Source organism: Homo sapiens, chromosome 6 (assembly GCF_000001405.40).
Source record: "Homo sapiens chromosome 6, GRCh38.p14 Primary Assembly".
NCBI classification, from domain to species: Eukaryota; Metazoa; Chordata; class Mammalia; order Primates; family Hominidae; genus Homo; species Homo sapiens.
This window is the reverse complement of record NC_000006.12, coordinates 136,387,366-136,408,616: the sequence shown is the minus strand read 5'-3', so window position 1 is coordinate 136,408,616 and position 21,251 is coordinate 136,387,366. Positions and strand designations below refer to the sequence as shown.

At 38.9% G+C, this 21,251-nt stretch overlaps 1 protein-coding gene across 39 annotated transcripts in view; it reads left to right on the top strand.

Annotated features, from left to right (window-relative positions):
- MAP7 (microtubule associated protein 7) overlaps window positions 1–21,251 on the top strand; it is a 207,689-nt gene that overhangs the window by 141,806 nt on the left and 44,632 nt on the right. For 34 of the 39 annotated variants that reach the window (NM_001198616.3, NM_001388339.1, NM_001388342.1 and 31 more), the window contains 2 exons: window positions 19,100–19,263; window positions 20,107–20,224. The exons of the other annotated variants lie outside the window; for them this stretch is intronic. In NM_001198616.3, the coding sequence (NP_001185545.1) occupies window positions 19,100–19,263; window positions 20,107–20,224 (282 nt within the window). The remainder of the gene's footprint in view (window positions 1–19,099; window positions 19,264–20,106; window positions 20,225–21,251) is intronic. 39 annotated transcript variants of the gene reach the window in all.

Here is a 21,251-nt window from a genome sequence, read left to right as displayed (position 1 = left end):
AAAGTAAAGTTTAAAATGAATAGCCAGGGAGACTGGTTATTTACTGTTGGATGTAGGTTGAAAATAACATTGAAATCATTAAAGATTGTTTTAATCCACGTATTTTAAAAAGCAAGGTAGAGAGAGGGAGAATAAAGGTCTGATTATTTTGTTCTTGGTGTTATGGCATATTTGTACTATTTTGCAAACAGGAAGGACTTATTAATAACTTTCTGTGGGTTAAATCTCTGAGTCATGCTTTGATGCTTTTATAGTAGGATTATGTCATGTGGCCTGCTTTTTCTGCATTATCCTTCAGTTTTTCACAAAATCAGGCATAATTCTTCATGTATGAGATTATTCTGTCGTTGGGCACTTGTACTCTGAAAGCTTTATTTTTCTTCCTTAAACGCTTTATACGTAGAAAAGTCTCTAACCACCCTATTCCATCTGATTCTATCCCCTCAAACTCTCTCTCTTGACTTCTGCATGTTTTTCACTCTCTCTCTTCTAAGCTTTTATTTTTTGTTTTCCAAGGGTGGGGTGGAGAATCTCATTTGTTCTCACAGGTTCACTCTCCTTTTTAAATATTGATTCCACATTTCCAGCTACTCGGAAGGCAGTAGATGCCTGCCTGTTTCCCGAAACTCTACTTCTGTACAACTAAATTGTTCATTTTCTTTCACTCCAAAACTGACTCATCCTGGTAATTTCTGTGTCCCAATTAATTGCACCAAATGTTTGGGTTTTTTTGGCCCCAAGACATTATTTATTTCCGTCATTTTTGATGCTTCTGCTAGAGACCCTAGGTTCTTTCTGACTAGTAGCTTAGCTATTAGATCTTTTGCAGAATAAAACATTCTCCCTTCCTTGGCTGGCCCAATACTGTCCACTGACTGGTCTCCATCCTGGCATATTGGGCCACTTGTAGCTACCCAGTGGTCAGTCTGGACTCAGCCTAGTTCTCTAACTGGAGCTTCAACTATCTACTATCAACTAGCCCAGTAGGTAGGTAGAAGTTGACATACTCTAACCCTGAATCCATTTAGTCAGAAATCTAGCAGACTCTTATTTCAGGTAAGAGTCTATGCCATTGTATTGGCTGCCTCTGCCATTATCCTAGTTCAGGCTAATACATTTACTGCCCTGTTGTTCTTTATACTCCTAGCACTGTATCACAATTAGTGCCAGTCCTTCTGTTTTAAAGGCTTCCTAGAAAATCTCCTTTTAGAAATTTATCATCCTTTCACTATATACTATATCTTGCATAACTATCACGTTTTAGTTCACATTCTACTGCTGTTTTATACACTACTGAATTTTTATCTATTTAGACTTTCTATCTCTGGTTTGTATCTCTGGTGTGTATTTTAAGCTTCCAAAGAATATGACTGTGGTCTCTAATTTTTTGTATCCCAACACATGGCACAGTGCTAAGTGTAAAACACATAATAAATATTTGCTGATTTTGCTTACTCTACAATCTTCAGTGAAATAATAGCAATAATGATAAACAGTATTTATTGAGCACTAACTATGGGCCAGGCAGTGTTCTAAACACTTCACTATGTATAATCCCATTTAGTAACAAATTAGCACAGTGGTTGTACTTTTTATTGTGTGGGCGTGCCATAATTGGCAAGGTAAGTTTTTTAATAGAATGTCACTTACTTTATTTTTAAAATACATTGTGATGAGTTAGCCAAAGGAAGTAACTGAGAGGATCTCAGAAAAATGGAATCGTTAATACACCCTTTTGTTTTTCTGCCCTATTACCCTTTTGTTGTTGTTGTTGTTTTGTTTGTTTTTGTTTTTGTTTTATACAGTCTTGCTCTGTCACTTAGGCAGGAGTGCAGTGGCATGATCTCAGCTCACTGCAACCTCCACCTTCCAGGTTCAAGCAATTCTCGTGCCTCAGCCTCCCGAGTAGCTGGGATTACAGGCATGTGCTACCACGCCCAGCTAATTTTTGTATTTTTAGTAGAGATGGGATTTTGCCACGTTGGTGAGGCTGGTCTGATTTTCCTGGCCTCAAGGGATTTGCCCGCCTTGACCTCCCAAAGTCCTGGGGTTACAGACGTGAGCCACCACACCCAGCCCCTATTAGCTTTTTAAGCATGATTTTAGTATGTACAGGATCACCACAGTCCATGTTAAAATTCTTCCACTAGTAGTGATGCTGTTAAGTAGAGAGAGATCCTTGTGCTTTGTTTATGGGTGATAGAATTTTCAGAAGTTTTAGGAGTTGGACAGGTATCCAGTTGTCATGGAGAAAGAGTTATTCTCCTTCCTCATAGATGTATTCATAAGATGCATAGGTGCTATGTTGACTCCCATTCGACAGTGGTTAAAATGTAAGTGTTGGAGCAGATTCTGAGATCTGCTTTGAGAAAACTTTATGGCATTGATCAGTTACCATCCTTTGAGTCCATTAAGAGTAATTCTGTCTTTATGAACTTAGAATCGATCCTGGTTACCGATTTCTCTTCAGAAACCATTACTAGAACCAGAGTATATAGAATTTATGCAACAACATAAATTTTTTATTCAGAGAGCTTAAAATAGAACCCCCTCTCTTTTAAGCTATTTTGTGTGATTTTATGTATTCATTCAATAATATTTAAAGCGTAGATAGTATTGAGCCAGGGATGCTGGAGTATTGAAGTGAAAAGAATAAATTTCATAACCTCCTGGAATTTATATTCCAAGAAGGGAGTAAGATAATAAAAAATCAAACAAGATTACCTAGCATCTTAGCTGAAATTTCCCACACATCCCATAACCAATCCATCAGCAAATACTCTTTGCTGTACCCTCAAAACATACCCAGAAAGTAACTACTTCTCACAACCACCACTGCTGCCACCTTGGCCCAAGACAGCTAGATCTTTCACCCGGATTCTGCAATAGGCTCCCAACCGGTGTCCTCATTTCCTCCTCCTCCCACAGAGTCTGTTAACACAGCAGCCAGAGTGACCCACTTGCAATATGGCCTGCCAGGCCTGCCTCTGCTCCAGACCTTTCAAGTCTTTACATTTCATGCAGAGTAGAAGTCAGAACCCTTACCATGGCTCAGCCCTGCTACCTGCTAATGTCCTCTCCTTTGCCCTCTCCTCCAGCCATGCTGGTTCCTTGCTGTTTCTTAAACACTACAGCCAAATGCACTCCACCTAGAGTGTTTTTCCTGAGAAATCCACATAGTTCATTCCCTCTCCTCCTTCAGGTTTCATTTAAATGCCACCTTCTCAGCGAGGCCTTCTCCTACCATCTTACTCAAATTTTCAGCTCCCTCAAACCAGACCTTCTTTATTTTTCTCCCTAGCTCTGTCAACATCTAAGCATGTAGATATTTTACTTATTTGTTGATTATCTGTTGGCCCCCTGCCCCGGAACATAAGCTCTGGAAGGGAAGGGATTTATGTCTTTTTTTCATTTCTGTAGCTTAGTATCTAGAACAGCTTGGCACGTAATCAATGTCCAGCAACTGTTTGTTTAATGTTAAGTGGAGATGAATGCAGGAGGTATTGCATATTAGTTAAAACGTTACCAAAGTATCATGTAATACCTGCCCTTATGATAGTTCAGTCAAACAGGTATTAAATTCTTATTAGTAATCATTTTCTCAGGTGAACAAGAATACAGAAATAATCTATTAGGATAGTCCTTAAATTTTCCTATGGATCTATCCTATTATCTATGGATAATCTATTAGGATATGCCTTAAATTTTCCTCTTCATATATTATAAAACTAATAGTTCTACAATATGTCGACAAGAAAGTTCAAGAGAATATTTAAGGACTGTGTAGCACACAAACAGTACTCTACGCTTGAGCAGACACAGAGCTTCCCTTTTTCAAGATAATAACAAGTAAGTTTGGAGTATTGATTGTGTTTAAGTTTTGTTTAAGTGCCTTGGAACATACTAGGCACTCAGTAAACATGTAATTATTTAGTCTTTTTCTGAAACCAAAATTTTTATATGAAGAGTCAAATTCCTAATTGGTACTTTCGGGGATTCTATAAAATCATGAAAGAGAATGTATGATGGACTGACATAGCTCTTGAAGAAAAATGTCAACTTACAAATCTATAATTTCATTCATATTGAGTTTTGTAGCTAAGTTCAAAGCTAAGATATATCATAAAGCAATATTTTAGAAAGAATAAGACAATATAAAAAGTTTTAACCTTTGAACAAACTTTGGTTAAATTATATGTGAGGGGCTTTTTTTTTTTTTCCTAGATAATTTCATCGGGCTTCCTTTGCCTTCTAATCATAGCTTTCTTGCTGTGCTTCTTTTTTTTTCTCTCTCATCTCAGTGTGTTGTCAACTCAGTGAGTGACGGCAGTACTAATAAGAGTGTGGTCAAGAGATAAATGGTCATTTCAACCTGGTTTAGAATGTTCATCCCAAAAATGCTGATAGCAAGTTAGTAATAATTAGTAAATAATAATGCTGTACTCCTGGTTAGAATTGGGAGTGAAACTCCCCCTGATTTCATACTTCACGTTATTTGATTCAGATGGCTGTTGGTTTTAACAAGAGACTTTCCTCTTTAGAGACTGTCCAGGAAAAAAAAAGGGGTCAGAGGAGGCTTTAGGGAAGTAATCTTTCTAATCCAAATATCTAATGGATAAACTTCGGCATATCTGTTACCAGTCTCAGCATCTGCATCTCCTAAAATTGTCACTTAGTGAATATAGTGTACAAAAGCTCATGAGGCTGTCAGGCAGGTTAACAGCTGAGGGACCTAAATGCATCTTAGTGAGAGGAATATGGATGTTAGCACATAACAGAGCAGCTGTATCATGAGTCAGGCTCAGGACTGGAAAGAATAATTGCTGCTTGCTGCATGGATTAGGTAAGCAGAAGCTGAAGCCTGAACATAAAATGAGTCATTATGACAAAGCAGCCATTATTTTTTTCTCCCCAAATTACTTTGCCTTTAAGAGTGAAGATAAAAAATCTTAAAACCTGAAAAGTAAGGGGTCTTGTAAACAGATGACGGTAGAGGCTAAGAGTGGCATTGGAAGATCAGGACCTTCACATTTGGATGCCCAGCTCTTTCTTGCTAGTACAGAGAAGGAGCTGTGGTCTTTGGAAGGTGTTCCAATTCATGCCTTTTAGCATAATGGCTCATTGTTTGCTTCTAGAGTCAGACAATCCAGAGTTTGAATGCCAACTTCATCACTTATTTGTTGTGAGACATCGGGCAGGTTACTTCACTCCTCTGTATCTCAGACTTCTCATAATAAAATAAGTTTAATGGCAGTGTCTGCCTCATAGAGTGGCTGCAAAGACAATGCCTATAAATCACTTGCGTCAGCATGAAGCAAGAGCTGACGACATCTCACCATGATGATGACGGTGATAAAGATGAGGATGGCAGGTCATATGATTCCACAAATACTGACTTAGATTCCTGGAATTAGAGAAGCCTAAGGCGTAGCAGAGAGAGGTGGGGGATGTCTGTGCCTCCTCATCCATTAGGGTGGGGCTAAGTAGGACAGCCCCAGGTGAAGAGAATGGCTACATTCTTTGAGGAGTGAAAGTACTTAGGGTTAAGGCTGTAACAGAAAGATTCCAAGGACAACCATTGCCCTGTTTAGCAAAACTCCATTATTTTAGTGAAGGCTAACATTCCTTTAGGCCTAGCCCTGAGATAGTAAGTCCTTTCTTTTTCTTTTTCTTTCTTTTTTTTTTTTTTTTTTTTTTTTTTTTTTTTTTTTGAGACAGAGTCTTGCTCTTTCGCCCAGGCCGGAGTGCAGTGGCGCTATCTCGGCTCACTGCAAGCTCCGCCTCCCAGGTTCACGCCATTCTCCTGCCTCAGCCTCCCGAGTAGCTGGGACTACAGGCGCCCGCCACCGCACCCGGCTAATTTTTTGTATTTTTAGTAGAGACGGGGTTTCACCGTGTTAGCCAGGATGGTCTCGATCTCCTGACCTCGTGATCCGCCGGCCTCGGCCTCCCAAAGTGCTGGGATTACAGGCGTGAGCCACCGTGCCCGGCAGTAAGTCCTTTCTTATTTGAAAAATCATTCAGCCTACATATAAGAAAAGCTCTTGATCTCCACCTATGTAACTACTATTCTAGCACCTCAACCCCATTAGCCCACCACTGTGTGCAGTGACAGGGTGAAATGGGAAGGACCCTCTGTGCAGGAGCACCGTGTTGTGGGGATCCTCCAAGGTCACACTTCTTATCAGGCAGCTCTCCACTGAATGCTTTTAATGACAAGTTGAGAAGGCTTTGAGTTGTCACCAAAGCCCAGTGTGAATCACTATGCTTGGAGATCACTCTGTCCTTTAACTCTTTAGTTCATTTATTCAAGCATATTTTAACCATCTGCTAGACTAGACATTGTGTGTATAGGGAAGAATTCACAAACACATAAAAGCAGAGTAGCTACCGTCTGGAGTGTAAGTGCTATGAGGGAGTCTGAATCCAGCTAGCAGATGGGGCTCCTGTGCTGTGGTCATCAGGAAAGGCTCCTCAGAGGAAGGAGCTTCTGAGCTAGGACTTGAAAGACAGAAGTTTGCCAGGGGGAAGGAGGTGTGTGTGAAGATGCATGATCCTATGGCCAGTCCAAGGGGTTGGACAGGGAACAGTAGGAGAACTAACAGGTTTTCAAGCACGACAATGACTTCAGGTCTGTTTCTTGAGGAAGATATCTCTGAGACGACTAATGTGTAGGATGGATTTGAAGTGGTTAAAGACTAGAAATGAGGCATGAGAAAGGAATGAGAGTTTAAAGTAGTGGTAAAAAGATTGGAGAGGCTACAGCAGATTCAAGCGATCATTCTGTGTTTTTCTGTTTTTTTACATTAGAGACAGGGTTTCTTTTTTTTTTTTTAATTATACTTTAAGTTCTTGGGTACATGTGCACAACGTTCAAGTTTGTTACATATGTATACATGTGCCACGTTGGTGTGCTGCACCCATTAACTCATCATTTACATTAGGTATATCTCCTAATGCTATCCCTCTCCCCTCCTCCCACCCCACGACAGGCCCAGGTGTGTGATGTTCCCTATCCTGTGTCCAAGTGTTCTCATTGTTCAGTTCCCACCTATGAGTGAGAACATGCGGTGTTTGGTTTTCTGTCCTTGCGATAGTTTGCTCAGAATGATGGTTTCCAGCTTTATCCATGTCCCTACAAAGGACAAGAACTCATCCTTTTTTATGGCTGCATAGTATTCCATAGTGTATATGTGCCACATTTTCTTAATCGAGTCTATCATTGATGGACATTTGGGTTGGTTCCAAGTCTTTGCTATTGTGAATAGTGCCTCAATAAACATGTCACCCAGGATGGAGTGCAGTGGTGCAATCATAGCTCACTGCATCCTCAAACTCTTGGGCTGAAGGGACCCTTCTGCCTCAGCCTCCCAAGTACCTGGGACTACAGGCATGTGCCAACAAGTCCAGATAATTTTTCTTTCTTTTTTGTGGAGATGGGGGTCTTGCTATGTTGCCCATGCTAGTCTCAAACTCCTGAGCTCAAGCAGTCTTCCCACCTTGGCCTCCCAAAGTGTTAGGATTACAGGTGTGAGCCACTGCACCCAGCTGAGAGATCATTCTGATACAACAATTGATGGGACCAATTATATGGATGTGTTGAGTTAGGGTGCACCATGCATGAGGGAAACATTGTGGAAGACTTGAAGTGACTAACTTTATAGACCATTTGGTCTCAGGAATCTGCTATCAGAATACGGAAGACAAAGAAAGTTCCAGTTTGGAGCAGGGAAGAATGTGCAGATAATGAATAAGATTATATGATGGATCTGACTGAGAAATTCAGGTGGAAATTAGAAGCATGCAGAAGTGAATATAGAGGCAATATTGTAGAGTGACTGAGTACAAGCTTTCGAGTCAGAGCTGAATGAAAATCCCAGCTGTTTTCTTTTAGACCATGTGCTGATCTTGGAAGCATCATTTCACTTCTTTGGGTCTTTTTCCTCATTTGATCTTCAGTTCTATTTTTTCTGGTAGCAATAGTCCCACAGTTATTACATTTTTGTTTTCATTTGCCTGATAGCCATTTGCTCATTATTTTAGTGTTATTTGACGCTTTGTTTTAGTTTTGTTTCTTTTAAACAACATAGCTAGGTGTTTTTGTTTTTAACCCATTCTAAAAGTCTTAATAGGCTTGATTTTAGTCCATCTGGCTTTTTTTAAAAAATGTTGTTTCCCCCAACTCTTTTTTTTTTTTTTTTGAGACAGAGTCTCGCCCTGTTGCCCAGGCTGGAGTGCAGTAGCGCAATCTTGGCTCACTGCAACCTCCGCCTCCCAGGTTCAAGTGATTCTCCTGCCTCAGCCTCCCTAGTAGTTGGGACTACAGGCGCCCACCACCACGCCTGGCTAATTTTTTGTATTTTCAGTAGAGACAGGGTTTCACTGTGTTAGCCAGGATGGTCTCGATCTCCTGACCTCGTGATCTGCCCGCCTCAGCCTCCCAAAGTGCTGGGATTACAGGCGTGAGCCACCACACCCAGCCTATTTTCCCCTTTTTTTAAAAAAGAAAAAAAAACTTTTTTGTAGGAGGGGCAGGGCTGGTGGTGTAGAGGTAGGGGTTGGTTTGATGTAAGTACCATTCATTCCATGGTTATCTTTAATAATTTGAAAGGTGTGCTAAACTTTTCCATTCTATTAATGATTACATTTTCATTCCTGTTTCTTGACTATTAAATGAAACTAATTAGTATTTCCCACACAAATGCTCTAAGACCTACAAAATATTTTTACTTTTCCATCTTTAGATGTTCTTATTATTTTATTCTACAACTCCCTTCTAAAATTGATGAGCATAGGTTAAGCCATTAGATTCCTTTTTAAAAAGAATTATTATTCAGCACATATATCAGTCAGCATATAATATGAAAATGACATGTATTTGAATATAAGTAATCACAACAATTATTGAGATAAAGCATAAAGGTTAAAATTTTAACATTCAAAATGAAAACAAAAGGAAACTGGACCAGGCACAGTGGCTCATGCCTATAATCCCAGCACTTTGGGAGGCCAAGGCAGGAGGATTGCTTGAGCCCAGGAGTTTGAGGCCAGCCTGGACAACACAGCAAGACTCTGTCTCTACAAGGAATAATAATAAAAAAAAAAACGAGCCAGACATGGTGGCATGTGCCTGTAGTCTCAGCTACTCAGGAGCTGAGGCCAGAGGATCACTTGAGACTGGGAGGTCGAGGATGCAGTGAGCCATTACTATCCCATTGTACTTCAGCCTGAGTTACAGAGCAAAACCCTGTCTCACCAAAAAAGAAAAAGAAAAGGAATCTAATTGTAATCCCACACATGTCCTCAAAGGTAAAAACAAAAAAATCAAGTCATGGGAGTTAGTTGGAAGAGATCTTGGAGATCATTTTGTATACTCTTTCTAATGTAGAAGTAGAAGAGTTTGGCTAGTTTTCCCAAGATCACACAGAATTAGTAGCAGACTCAAGACCCAAACTCAGATGTTCTCATCACTTTTCACTTTCTGACTCTTCATTATATTACTGGCTACTCTGGTAGCCAGTGTTACCCAAAATCCTTCTATATCTTAGTATGAAACTGAGACAACAAGTCTGAATATTTCAGAGGTTAAGTGATGATATTTCTCTAGTCTCTGAATGTCACCTTTTCTTTTCTCTCATACAGCAGTAAAATATATGCTCCCCTGATACAGAAGTAAGCCTGTTCAGAGGGACCAGGCTGGACTCTAGATTGCTGAATGTGATGACAGGGGCATGTGGAGTGTTGCACACAACCCATGAGTGCACTGAGTTCACTGTTCTACCTGAGTTTCTTCCTGTTAGCTGCATGCTGTGTGTATTAGTCCATTTTCCCACTGCTGGTAAAGACATACCTGAGACTGGGAAGAAAAAGAGGTTTAATTGGACTTAAAGTTCCACGTGGCTGAGGAGACCTCAGAATCGTAGCAGGAGGCAAAGGGCAATTCCTACATGGTGGTGGCAAGAGCAAATGAGGAAGATGAAAAAGTGGAAACTCCTGATAAAACCTTCAGATCTCTTGAGACTTATTCACTACCACAAAAACAATATGGGGGAAACTACTCCCACAATTCAAATTATGTCCCACGGGGTCCCTCCCACAACATGTGGGAATTATGGGAGTACAATTCAAGATGAGATTTGGGTGGGAACACAGAGCCAAACCATATCACTCTACGTGGCAATAGGACAGGAATTATTGATTATCGTAAAGGCTGTCATTATCTGCATTTATTGAATCCCTGCAATGTACATGGCACTATGCTAAGTGCTTCATATGTTACTGTGAGCCACAAAGCAGCCCTGTCAGGAAGTTGGTGCCATAGTAACTTGGGGGAACAAGGCCACAGAAGTCATTACTTGTTCAGTGGCACATAGCTTGTAAGTGGCAAGACTGGGGGTGGGCCCAAGTTCATATGAAGCCAGAAACTGTCCTCTATCCACCACAGTACCCTGCTTTTCATTTTTAATTCCTTTTTGTACAGCATCACTGTGTATTTCTACATGGAGTCTAGATTGATAGTGGATTTCTCCTTTGTATGGTACTGATATATTGTTACAGTGTCATTAAAATATCTTGGTGTCAGCAGGTCAGGGATGGGACTGACTCGTTAGTGTCCAGTATTTCACAGGCTACAGTGGATTTTCACTTCATTTTATAATGTGATCCCATAGGCCAGGGATAAATTGTGACTTCAGAAGAGTAAAGGTTAATATTAATCACAGTTCATTTTTTGGACATACTGTTCTTTTACGGAGCTGCCTCTTTATGAAATTAAGTGGTTGTTAATGATTTAAATACTGAATGAGTTGTATTCATCTACTAGGGATGCCATAACAAAATACCATAGACTGGGTAGCTTAAACAACAGAAATTTATTTTCTCACAGCTCTGGAGGCCGTGCAGTCCAAGATCAAGTTCAGCTTCTGTTGAGGGCTCTCTTCCTGGCTTCCAGTGGGCCACTTTGTCCTCACATGGTATTTCCTCTGAATCTGTTAGGTTAGGGTGCCATCTTTATGACCTCATTTAGTCTTAATTACCTCCTAAAGGTCCTATTTTCAAATGTATTTACCTTGGGGGTTAGGGCTTCAGCATATGAACTTGGTGGGGGTGGGGGCAAGGTGGGCGGGGAACAATTCAGTCAATAACAGTTGCTGAATTTTTTCGTGTATTCAAAATTATCATTTCTTAATGAGAAAATACATAACCTCAACATTATCCATAGGGAATATTTTAACCTATTCTGAAATTCTTAAACCTAATAGGCTTGATTTTACACCTTCTAGCTTATTTTTTAAACTTTGTTTTTTTCCCTTTAAAAAAAAACTTTTTGTGGAAGGGCCGGGTATTAAAGTATTAAATCTCTTATAATAAATTAACTTTTTATTTTTATTAAAATATTGAAATACTTTGTTATCCTTCCATTTAAAATATTGCATGACCTATATTTAGCAATAAGTTTGCACTCACTAGCATGCTCTGCAATTGGCAAGTGTTGTTTAATTTGCCTATTTGCTGTGTGACTGTTTAAAGAAGGCACTGCATTAGGATCTGCACTTCCTGGTAGAAAGTAGTAGTGGAATTCAATAACAGTTGGATAGACAAAGAAATATTCTTCCTTTAAAAGATTATTTGGGGTAAAACTAATTATTGTTGCAATAATGTCTAGCTCTACTGTGATTTATAGCACAACCTTAAGAACTACCTTTAATTTTCTAAACTGAAATTATAATGATTATGACGACAAAAACAACAATAGCTAATATTTACTGAATGTTTACTACATTGCAGAAAAGTATTCTAACCATATTATGTGTAATTATTTTGTTAATCTTTATGGTAAATTTATGAGAAAGATCCTCTTTTTACCCACACCTTGACCTGACAAAACTGAGGAATAGGGAGGTTAAGCAATTTACCCAGGACCAAACAGTTATGGGTGAATGAATCAGGAAGTAGTTCCCAATGAATTATAAAATAATTATTAAGACCCTTGGATATGTTCAAGTTCTGAAAGGCACTATGGAGAGCACACACAAAAAGATTCTAGCCAGAGCAATTAGGCAAGAGAAAGAAATAAAGACCATCTAAATTGGAAAGGAGGAAGTAAAATTGTCCCTGCTTGCAGACAACATGGTCTTATATATAAAAACCCCTAAAAGCTTCGCCAAAAATCTCTAAGTATGGATAAATTAATTCAGTAAAATTGCAAGGTACAAAATTAACATAAAAAATCAGTGTTTCTGTAACTCAGTGACAAACCAGTGGAAAAAGAAATCAAGAAAGCAATCCCATTTACGGTAGCTATAAAAATAAAATAAAATACTTAGGAATAAATGTAACGAAGGAGGTAAAAGTTTGCTACAAGGAAAACTGAAAACACTGATGAAAAAAATTGAAAAGCTCACAAAAAAGTGCAAGACATCTCATGTTCATGAATTGGAACAATTAATATTGTGAAAATGACCATACTTAAAGTGATCTACAGATTCAATGCAATTCCTACCAAAATACCAATGACATTCTTCACAAAAACAGAAAAAAAAAATCTTTATGTGGAACCACAGAAGACCCCAAATAGTCAAAGCAATCCTGAGCAAAAAGAACAAAGCTGGAGGCATCGTACGACCTGACTTCAAAATATTAAGCTCTGGTTACACAACTATAGTAACCAAAACAGCATAGTACTGCCATAAAAACAGACACATAGACCAATGGAACAGAATAGAGAACTCGGAAATAAATGCATGTATTTACAGCCAACTGATTTTCAACAAAGGTACCAAGAACATTCGGTGGGGAAAGGACAGTCTCTTCAATAAATGGTGCTGGGAAAACTGGATAATCCATATGCAGAAAAATGATACTAGACCCCTATCTCTCACCATATGCAAAAATCAACTCAAAATGGATTAAAGACTACAATGTAACCTGAAACTATGAAACTACTAGAAGAAAGCATTGGGGAAATGCTTCAGGACATTGGTCTGAACAAAGAGTTTTGGGGTAAGACCTCAAAAGCAAAGACAACGAAAGCAAAAATAGACAAATAGGATTACATGAAGCCAAAAACCTTCTGCACAGCAAAGGAAACAACAGAAGAGACAGTGAATAGAATGGGAGAAAATATATGCAAACTATTTATTCGACAAAGCATTAACAACCAGAATATGTAAGGAACTCAATAGTGCAAAAAAAAAAAAAAAAAAAAATCCAAATTAAAAATGGGCAAATGATCTGAATAGCATTTCTCAAAAGAAGACATAGAAATAACCAACAGGCATCTGCAAAAAGCTCAACATCACTAATTATCAGGGAAATGCAAATCAAAATCACAATGAGACATAGCACCCCAGTTAGAATGGCTATTATCAAAAAGACAAAAAATAGCAGGTACTGATGAAGACGCAGAGAAAGGGGAACACCAGTACACTGCTATAGGAATGTAAATTAGTGTAGCCGCTATGGAAGACAGTATGGAAGCTCCTCAAAAAACTAAAAATAGAACTGCAGGATGACCCAGCAATCCCACTACTGGATATATAGCCCAAAGAAAGGAAATCAGAATATCCAACAGACTATTCACGATAGCCAAGATATAGAAGTAACCTAAGTGTCCATCAGTGGATGAATGGATAAGGAAAATGTGATATATATATATATATATATATATATATATATATATATATGATGGAATATTATTCAACCATAAAAAAGAATGAAACACTGTCATCTACAACAACATGGATAAAACTGCAGGTCACTGTCTTAGAAGTAAGACAGGCACAGAAAGACAAATATTGCATGTTCTCACTCATATATGGGAACTAAAGAAAAGTGATCTCATGGAGGTAGTGAGTCGAGTGGTGCTTGCCAGGGGCTGGGAACAGAAAGGTGGGGGGGAGGTTAAAGAGGTTTGTTAATGGTTACAAAATACAGCTAGATAGAAGGAATAAATTCTAGTATTCAATAGCACAATAGGATGACTGTTAACAATAATTTATTACATATATGATATATCTATAAGAGAAGATTTGAAATGTTCCCAACACAAAGAAGTAATAAATGTCTGAGGTGATAGGTATCCTAGATACCCTGATTTGATTACTACATACTGTATGCATATATCAAAATATCATATGTACCCTATAAATAGCACAGTTATTCTACGTCAATAAAAAACATAAAAAAAAATTAAACCTATCAATAGGTAACTGGTTATAAAAAATAATGTGCATAGACAGTGAAATACCATACAGCCACTAAAAAGCTTTAAAAAGAGGCTCAATAAAAATCAGTCACCTGCAGGTGGAAAGGTTTTCTTTAAAAAAATTTCCTGGCCGGGCGCGGTGGCTCACGCCTGTAATCCTAGCACTTTCAGAGGCCGAGGTGGGTGGATCACGAGGTCAGGAGATCGAGACCATCTTGGCTAACACGGTGAAACCCCGTCTCTATTAAAAATACCAAAAATTAGCTGGGTATGGTGGCACGCGCCTGTAGTCCCAGCCACTCGGGAGGCTGAGGCAGGAGAATCGTTTGAACCTGGGAGGCGGAGGTTGCAGTGAGCCAAGATTGCACTACCGGACTCTAGCCTGGGCAACAGAGTGAGACTCTGTCTCAAAAAAAAAAAAAAAAAAAAAAATACCTTTGCTGCAGAGATATCAGAACATAAGAAATGCTAGGCCAGGCGTTGGGGCTCAGGCCTGTAATCCCAGCACTCAGGGGGCTGAGACAGGAGCATCTCTTGAAGCTAGGAGTTTGAGACCAGCCTGGTCAATGTAGTGAGACCCTATCTCTAAAAAAAAAAAAAAAAAAAAAAAAATTTTGCTGAATGTGGTAGCATGTACCTGTAGTCCCTTTAGGAGGCTGAGGCAGGAGGATTGCTTGAGTTCAGGAGTTTGAGGTTGCAATGAGCTGTGATGACACCACTGCACTCCAGCCGAGGTGACAGAGCAAGACCCTGGCTCTAAAATAAATAGATAGATACATAGATAGAAGAAAAGAAATGCTAAAGTTTGTGGTTGATGTCACAAGATCAGCAGTGAGCTCTGGAAGAGATGGCACTTCTGTGGAAGACCTTAGAGTACAGCGTTTCTCCAAATGCCATCCATGGGTCACTTGTCTCAACTACCTGTGAGATTTATCCAAAATCAAGTTACCGGGCCTCATCCTAGAATTAGCACCTCTAAATACGAGAGGTGGAGCTCTGGAATCTGCGTTTGAACTAGACATTTTCCCCTTCCCCCCACACAGTTCCAACAGTAATTCTGACATATTACAATTATGAGTATGCCTTCTCAAAACATGGATCTGCTTGGATAAAAAATGATGACAGCTTTCCCAACAGGACAATAACAAAGGCAAAGATCTGGGAGAAGCATGGTTTGATGGGAGGTGCATTAAGGAGATGGGATCTAATTAGAATGCAGAGGCTATTTTGGAGAGCAGTGGGGAGGAAGGCCAAATAAGGATATTAAAGCCAAAATAGGACTGTACAAATCAGAGGAGTTTAAATTTAGTGAAGAAATAGAGCCACGTATTAATAAGTCAGAAAGCCTGATGAAAACATTATTTAAGAAAAATTGATTTGTGAATTAACTCTTATTTTACAAATTTATCTTACCAGCTTTCAAATATATTCTTAATATTTTATAAACATCTTTATTTCTTATTTTCTCTTGTTGGCTTCTGGATCTCTTATAGGAGAGGAAAATATTATGTTCATAAATGTCCTCAGAGAATTTGAAATTTTCCTCAAAATGGGGTATAAAACTCAAAGACTATGTAGTTTGAAGGCTAAAAGTTAAAAAGTAGATTTATCATACTGCATATCTCAAGGTACACATCTGATTCTTCTGCCTATGACCATCATACACTGTTGGTGGGTATATAAATTGGTATGACCTCCACAGAGGACAGTATGACAATATCTATCAAAATTTTAAATGTATGTTCCCTTTGATTCAGCTATTCTACATGGACATGCTCACACATCTACATAGGGATTTACGACAGCACATTGTTACTGCTCAGGGTCTGAATTCTTAAAATACTGGAAATAACTTAGATAACCTATCACTCAGTAGGTAACTGGTTATATAAAATAAGGTATAGTATATAGACAATAAAATACTATATAGCCATTAAAAAGACTCTTAGATTCATGTTTCATGTGTTGATATAGAAAAGTCTCTAAGATACATTTTAAGTAAAAAAAAAAAAAAAAAAAAAAGCAAGATGCAGGCTGGGTGCGGTGGCTCCTGCCTGTAATCCCAGAACTTCGGGAGGCCAAGACAGGTGGATCCCTTGAGCTGAGGAGGTCAAGACCAGCCTGGGCAATATGGCAAAACCTTATCTCTACTAAAAATACAAAAAATTAGCCGGGCATAGTGGTGCACGCCTGTAGTCCCAGCTACCCAGGTGGCTGAGATGGGAGGATCACCTGAGCCTGGGAGGTCAAAGCTGCAGTGAGCCCTGATTGTGCCACTACACTCCAGCCTGGGCAACAGAGTGAGACCCTGCCTCAAAAAGAGCAAGATGCAGAGCAGTAAGTGTACTTTGGTACAAGGTGCATGGTGTACGTTGTCAAAAAGTTGGAGGTGGAATATAACAGAATCTCAGGTTAGAGGAAGACAGTTGTTTTACCGTTTATTATTTTGTGTTGTTTAAGCTTTGACAAAAGCTATCACTGTCAAAATTTATCCACCTTTTTAAGTGATTTAAAATGTTTAATGTCATTAAAAGCCTTCCAGTAAGGTATTCCCATGTAGAAAATCCAAAAGATATTATGTGCACGAGTGTGCGTGAGCAAAGTAAGTGCATCTTAAGAAAGTATCAGAATTATGTTCTACTTCTCTTAACTTTTAAAGTGTGTTCTCACAGTGGTATTTATTTTTTCAGTCATTCAGTAAATACTTATTGTGTATACTATATGCTTTTTTTTTTTTGAATAATAGTTTTTATTTTTTATTTTTTGAGAGATTATATGATTTAATGCATATAAAGCATTTTAAACAGTGCCTGACATGTGGTTTGGTTGTTGTTGTTGTTGTTGTTGTTGTTGTTTTTTATTATACTCTAAGTTTTAGGGTACATGTGCACATTGTGCAGGTTAGTTACATATGTATACATGTGCCATGCTGGTGCGCTGCACCCACTAATGTGTCATCTAGCATTAGGTATATCTCCCAATGCTATCCCTCCCCCCTCCCCCGACCCCACCACAGTCCCCAGAGTGTGATATTCCCCTTCCTGTGTCCATGTGATCTCATTGTTCAATTCCCACCTATGAGTGAGAATATGCAGTGTTTGGTTTTTTGTTCTTGCGATAGTTTACTGAGAATGATGGTTTCCAGTTTCATCCATGTCCCTACAAAGGATATGAACTCATCATTTTTTATGGCTGCATAGTATTCCATGGTGTATATGTGCCACATTTTCTTAATCCAGTCTATCATTGTTGTTTATTGCGGCACTATTCACAATAGCAAAGACTTGGAACCAACCCAAATGTCCAACAATGATACTATATGCTTTTTATTGAAGTGAATTTTTAACTTGAGCTTGAGAATTTCCTTAGAACAATGAGCTTTGAAAATTGGTAGGAACCTTGAAGACCAGTGTCCTCATTTTAAGCAAAAGAAAGCTAAAATCCAAATGAACATGTCTGAGATCTCAGCACCAGTTAGTAGCCTAGCTGCTAGGAGAACCAGTCCCAGTTCACTCCACAAACCACCCTGAATGATGCCAGGAGAACAAACTCACCTTGAATTTGTCCTTCTCCTTTTCTTCACCTAAAATAAAGTCAGTTCCGATCACTTTCAGTAGATTTAGTCCTCAAATGACTAACTTTGGAAAGATTTAATGGTATCAGAAATGCATTCTTTAATATTAAACATTTAGAGGAAACCAAAATATTTCTAAATTTATGTTTTTTCTTTTATTTGTTTGTTTGTTTGTTTGTTTTTGAGACAGAGTCTCACTCTGTCGTCCAAGGCTGGAGTGCAGTGGCACAATCTTGGCTTGCTGCAACATCCGCCTCCCAAGTTCAAGTGATTCTTGCACCTCAGCCTCCCGAGTAGCTGGGACTACAGGCACGTGCCACCACACCTTCCTAATTTTTATATTTTTAGTAGAGATGTTGTTTCACTATGTTGGCCAGACTGGTCTCAAACTCCTGACTGCCAGTGATCTGCCCCCCTCAGCCTCCCAAAGTGCTGGGATTACAGGCATGAGCCACTGCACCTGGCCTGTTTTTTCTTTTAAAAAGTAACATTTTAATTTGTATGCCATGTAGTGTCCTCAAGATTTACTCTTTGAATGTTGTTTGAATTTTTTCCTTTTGCCTACAGTATTAATAACTCATAGATATTTTTAGTTATTACCGCTGAAGGAAGCAGCATATTGAAATAGCTTTGAGGGGGCATATCTTTTCCTAAAATGAGGAAAGAACCTGTATTATATAAAGAAGAAAAAATGCATCCTATTGTTGAACGATAATTTTGGATTGTATTTTTCATCCAGCTTTTGATATGGTTAACTCTTATCTAACTAAATTGTGAGCTCCTCAGACACAAGGCCACCTGCTTGTTCGGTCCTTCCCATCCCTGAGCTGACTCAATGTGATAGACCTGTAAGGCACTTCAGACATCTTTCATCAACTAATTATTTTCTCCCAAATCCTTTTAATACTCAGAACCAATGCCATGTTGGAAAAAATGTAGTCATAGACTGGAGGATATCACATTGTTTTATAATAAAAAAAAGAGACAGATGGTACTATTGATTTTCAGGATTGAGACTAGAGCATGTGGTTAATAATGCCTTATTCTACCTACAAACTAGAGGGCTGCTTGCGTTCCCAAAGAGTGGAATTCAGTACATTTTCAACCTCATTGCTAACATATTAAATTATGCTAAAAATTAACAGTAATACATTTTTCTTGGAAATTTGAGGGAAGCAAAGGCCATGCTTGGTTAATACAAAACTAAAGAACCCATATTTGTTCATTGTAGACCACTTAATACAGCCCTAACTATTCAAGTTTGCAACCTGCCTATATTTGATTTCCCTCTTTTTTTTTTTTTTTAACCCTCCCCAAAGCTGCAAGAGAAATAGTGTGGTTAGAAAGAGAAGAGCGAGCCAGGCAGCACTACGAGAAGCACCTGGAAGAGCGGAAGAAGAGGTTGGAGGAGCAGAGGCAGAAGGAGGAGCGGAGGAGGGCTGCTGTGGAGGAGAAGCGGAGGCAGAGACTTGAGGAGGACAAAGTGAGCCGCCCCCCGGGAAGAATATGAGTGGCTCCTCTAGTTCAGACATGCAGCAAACTTTCTGTGAAACTTTGCAGTCAGGTGCAGGGTGCAAAGCAAAATGGTTTCAGAGTGATCAGCTTTACAGATGGCTACAGTTTCTAGGGAGTTCAGGGTATGAGAGGTAGCGAATGGGCTGATGATTATTATTGCCACAGAAAGTTTAAAAGCCCATTTCTCTGGTCCAAACCTATAACTTATTGAAGTGCAATTCATCTGTACTGAGTATTAAGACCACTCCAAGTAATTGAGTTTCTGTAGTCTTTACCATTTGCAAACATTTACACATAGATTATCTCATTTAACCCTTACTCAATCCTTTAGCATGCATTATATGTCAGTTTGTATAAAAATAGAAATTTAGACTCAGAGTGGGTAAGGTACACAAGGTCATACAACTCAATAAGTCATGGGGTCAGGGTTACCCATGTTCTCAGATTCTGAACTGTTTTTTAAATATGGTATCGTATGGTAAATATGGTATCGTATAAGCATCAGTTGAAGCTAAGATCTGCACTACCATGCTTACGTGTGTTCATGAAAGCATCACGCACACCCTAGTAGTAAGGGTCGTTTATTTGAATGCCTGTTGTTCGCCAAGGGCTTTATGAACTGGGACCTAATGACTAAAGTGACCCTCCCAGATTGACACTAGTCTCACCTTATGGTATAGAAGTTCAGCTAGAGATCAAGAATAGTAGAGTGGGAATTGAAGTAGTACTCCTCACTCCATTCTGCCTTAAATTGAAGAAGCTTCAAACAACCAGCTGGAATCTAATCCTCAGCTCTTCTATTCCATCTAAGGAACGCCACGAAGCTGTTGTACGGCGCACAATGGAAAGGAGCCAGAAGCCAAAACAGAAGCATAACCGTTGGTCGTGGGGAGGCTCTCTCCATGGGAGCCCTAGCATCCACAGTGCAGGTAAACAGTGACCACTTTGAAAATTAGTCTTTATTTTCCTGAAAGTAACAGGGTGTTTCCTTCTTTCTTCTAAATCTATGTTTGCGAAACAAAAATCCTGCTGAAATAATTAAACAACAATGAAATGAATCTTTCACTATTTGAGGATAAGAGGGTGATGGAGATAAGAAGTAAGGGCCTCTTTCCCTTAACACAGGCCAATTTTCTCATGTTACAAAATTCCTTAAAGGGAGAAATCTATGTAGTGTTTCTAAATAAACATGCTAGCTTCAACACTACATTATTTTAGTCTTCTATTTGCATTAGGGTTTCAGGATTATGGAATAAGTTAACTAGTTTTATCTTTTTCTCTGGAAGGATTATAGTTATATTGACTGACCAGAATCAATACTATGAGCTTATGTATTCTGACCCTAAAGTATATGCAACACTAATGCTCTGTAAGAAAATATATAGGTTTATTGAGCTAGAAATAGTAAATGACTAAGCTATTTCCTCCTTTCTGAATGGACATAAAATCATATTGAAATTTGGATTTACTGAAAGGCTTTATTTTTGTACTGTAAATTCAATACCCCTGGAATTTTACATAGTGTGTCAGTTTTTATTTTTTTATTTGTGTGAATCTGATAACCTTTTTTTTTTAAATTTGCTTTGAAAAATCATTGTTTTACATTCTGTCTCCAGGTGGTTTTGTTGAATCATCATTCTCCTCTCTGGATTTAGCAGGCCTGGACCACCACTTCATAACTTTTGGTGGTACTAGAAAAGCTGGTACAGACATCCCTGTGATTGCCAATTGCCTGACCTGTAGCTAGCACCTCAGACCTAGGGCCGATGCATCAATAGCTGAAGCATCACCACCTTAGTCATCAACGCATGCCTAATACCCTAGCGCATAGACGTAGATCTGGGATTGGAACAGTGTTTCTTAAGTGTGATAATATGACTCAGGTGACTTAAAGGTGTTGAAATAAAGTAATTACATGTGGAATGTTTGCTTTCCCTTTAAACAATCATTTTGGTT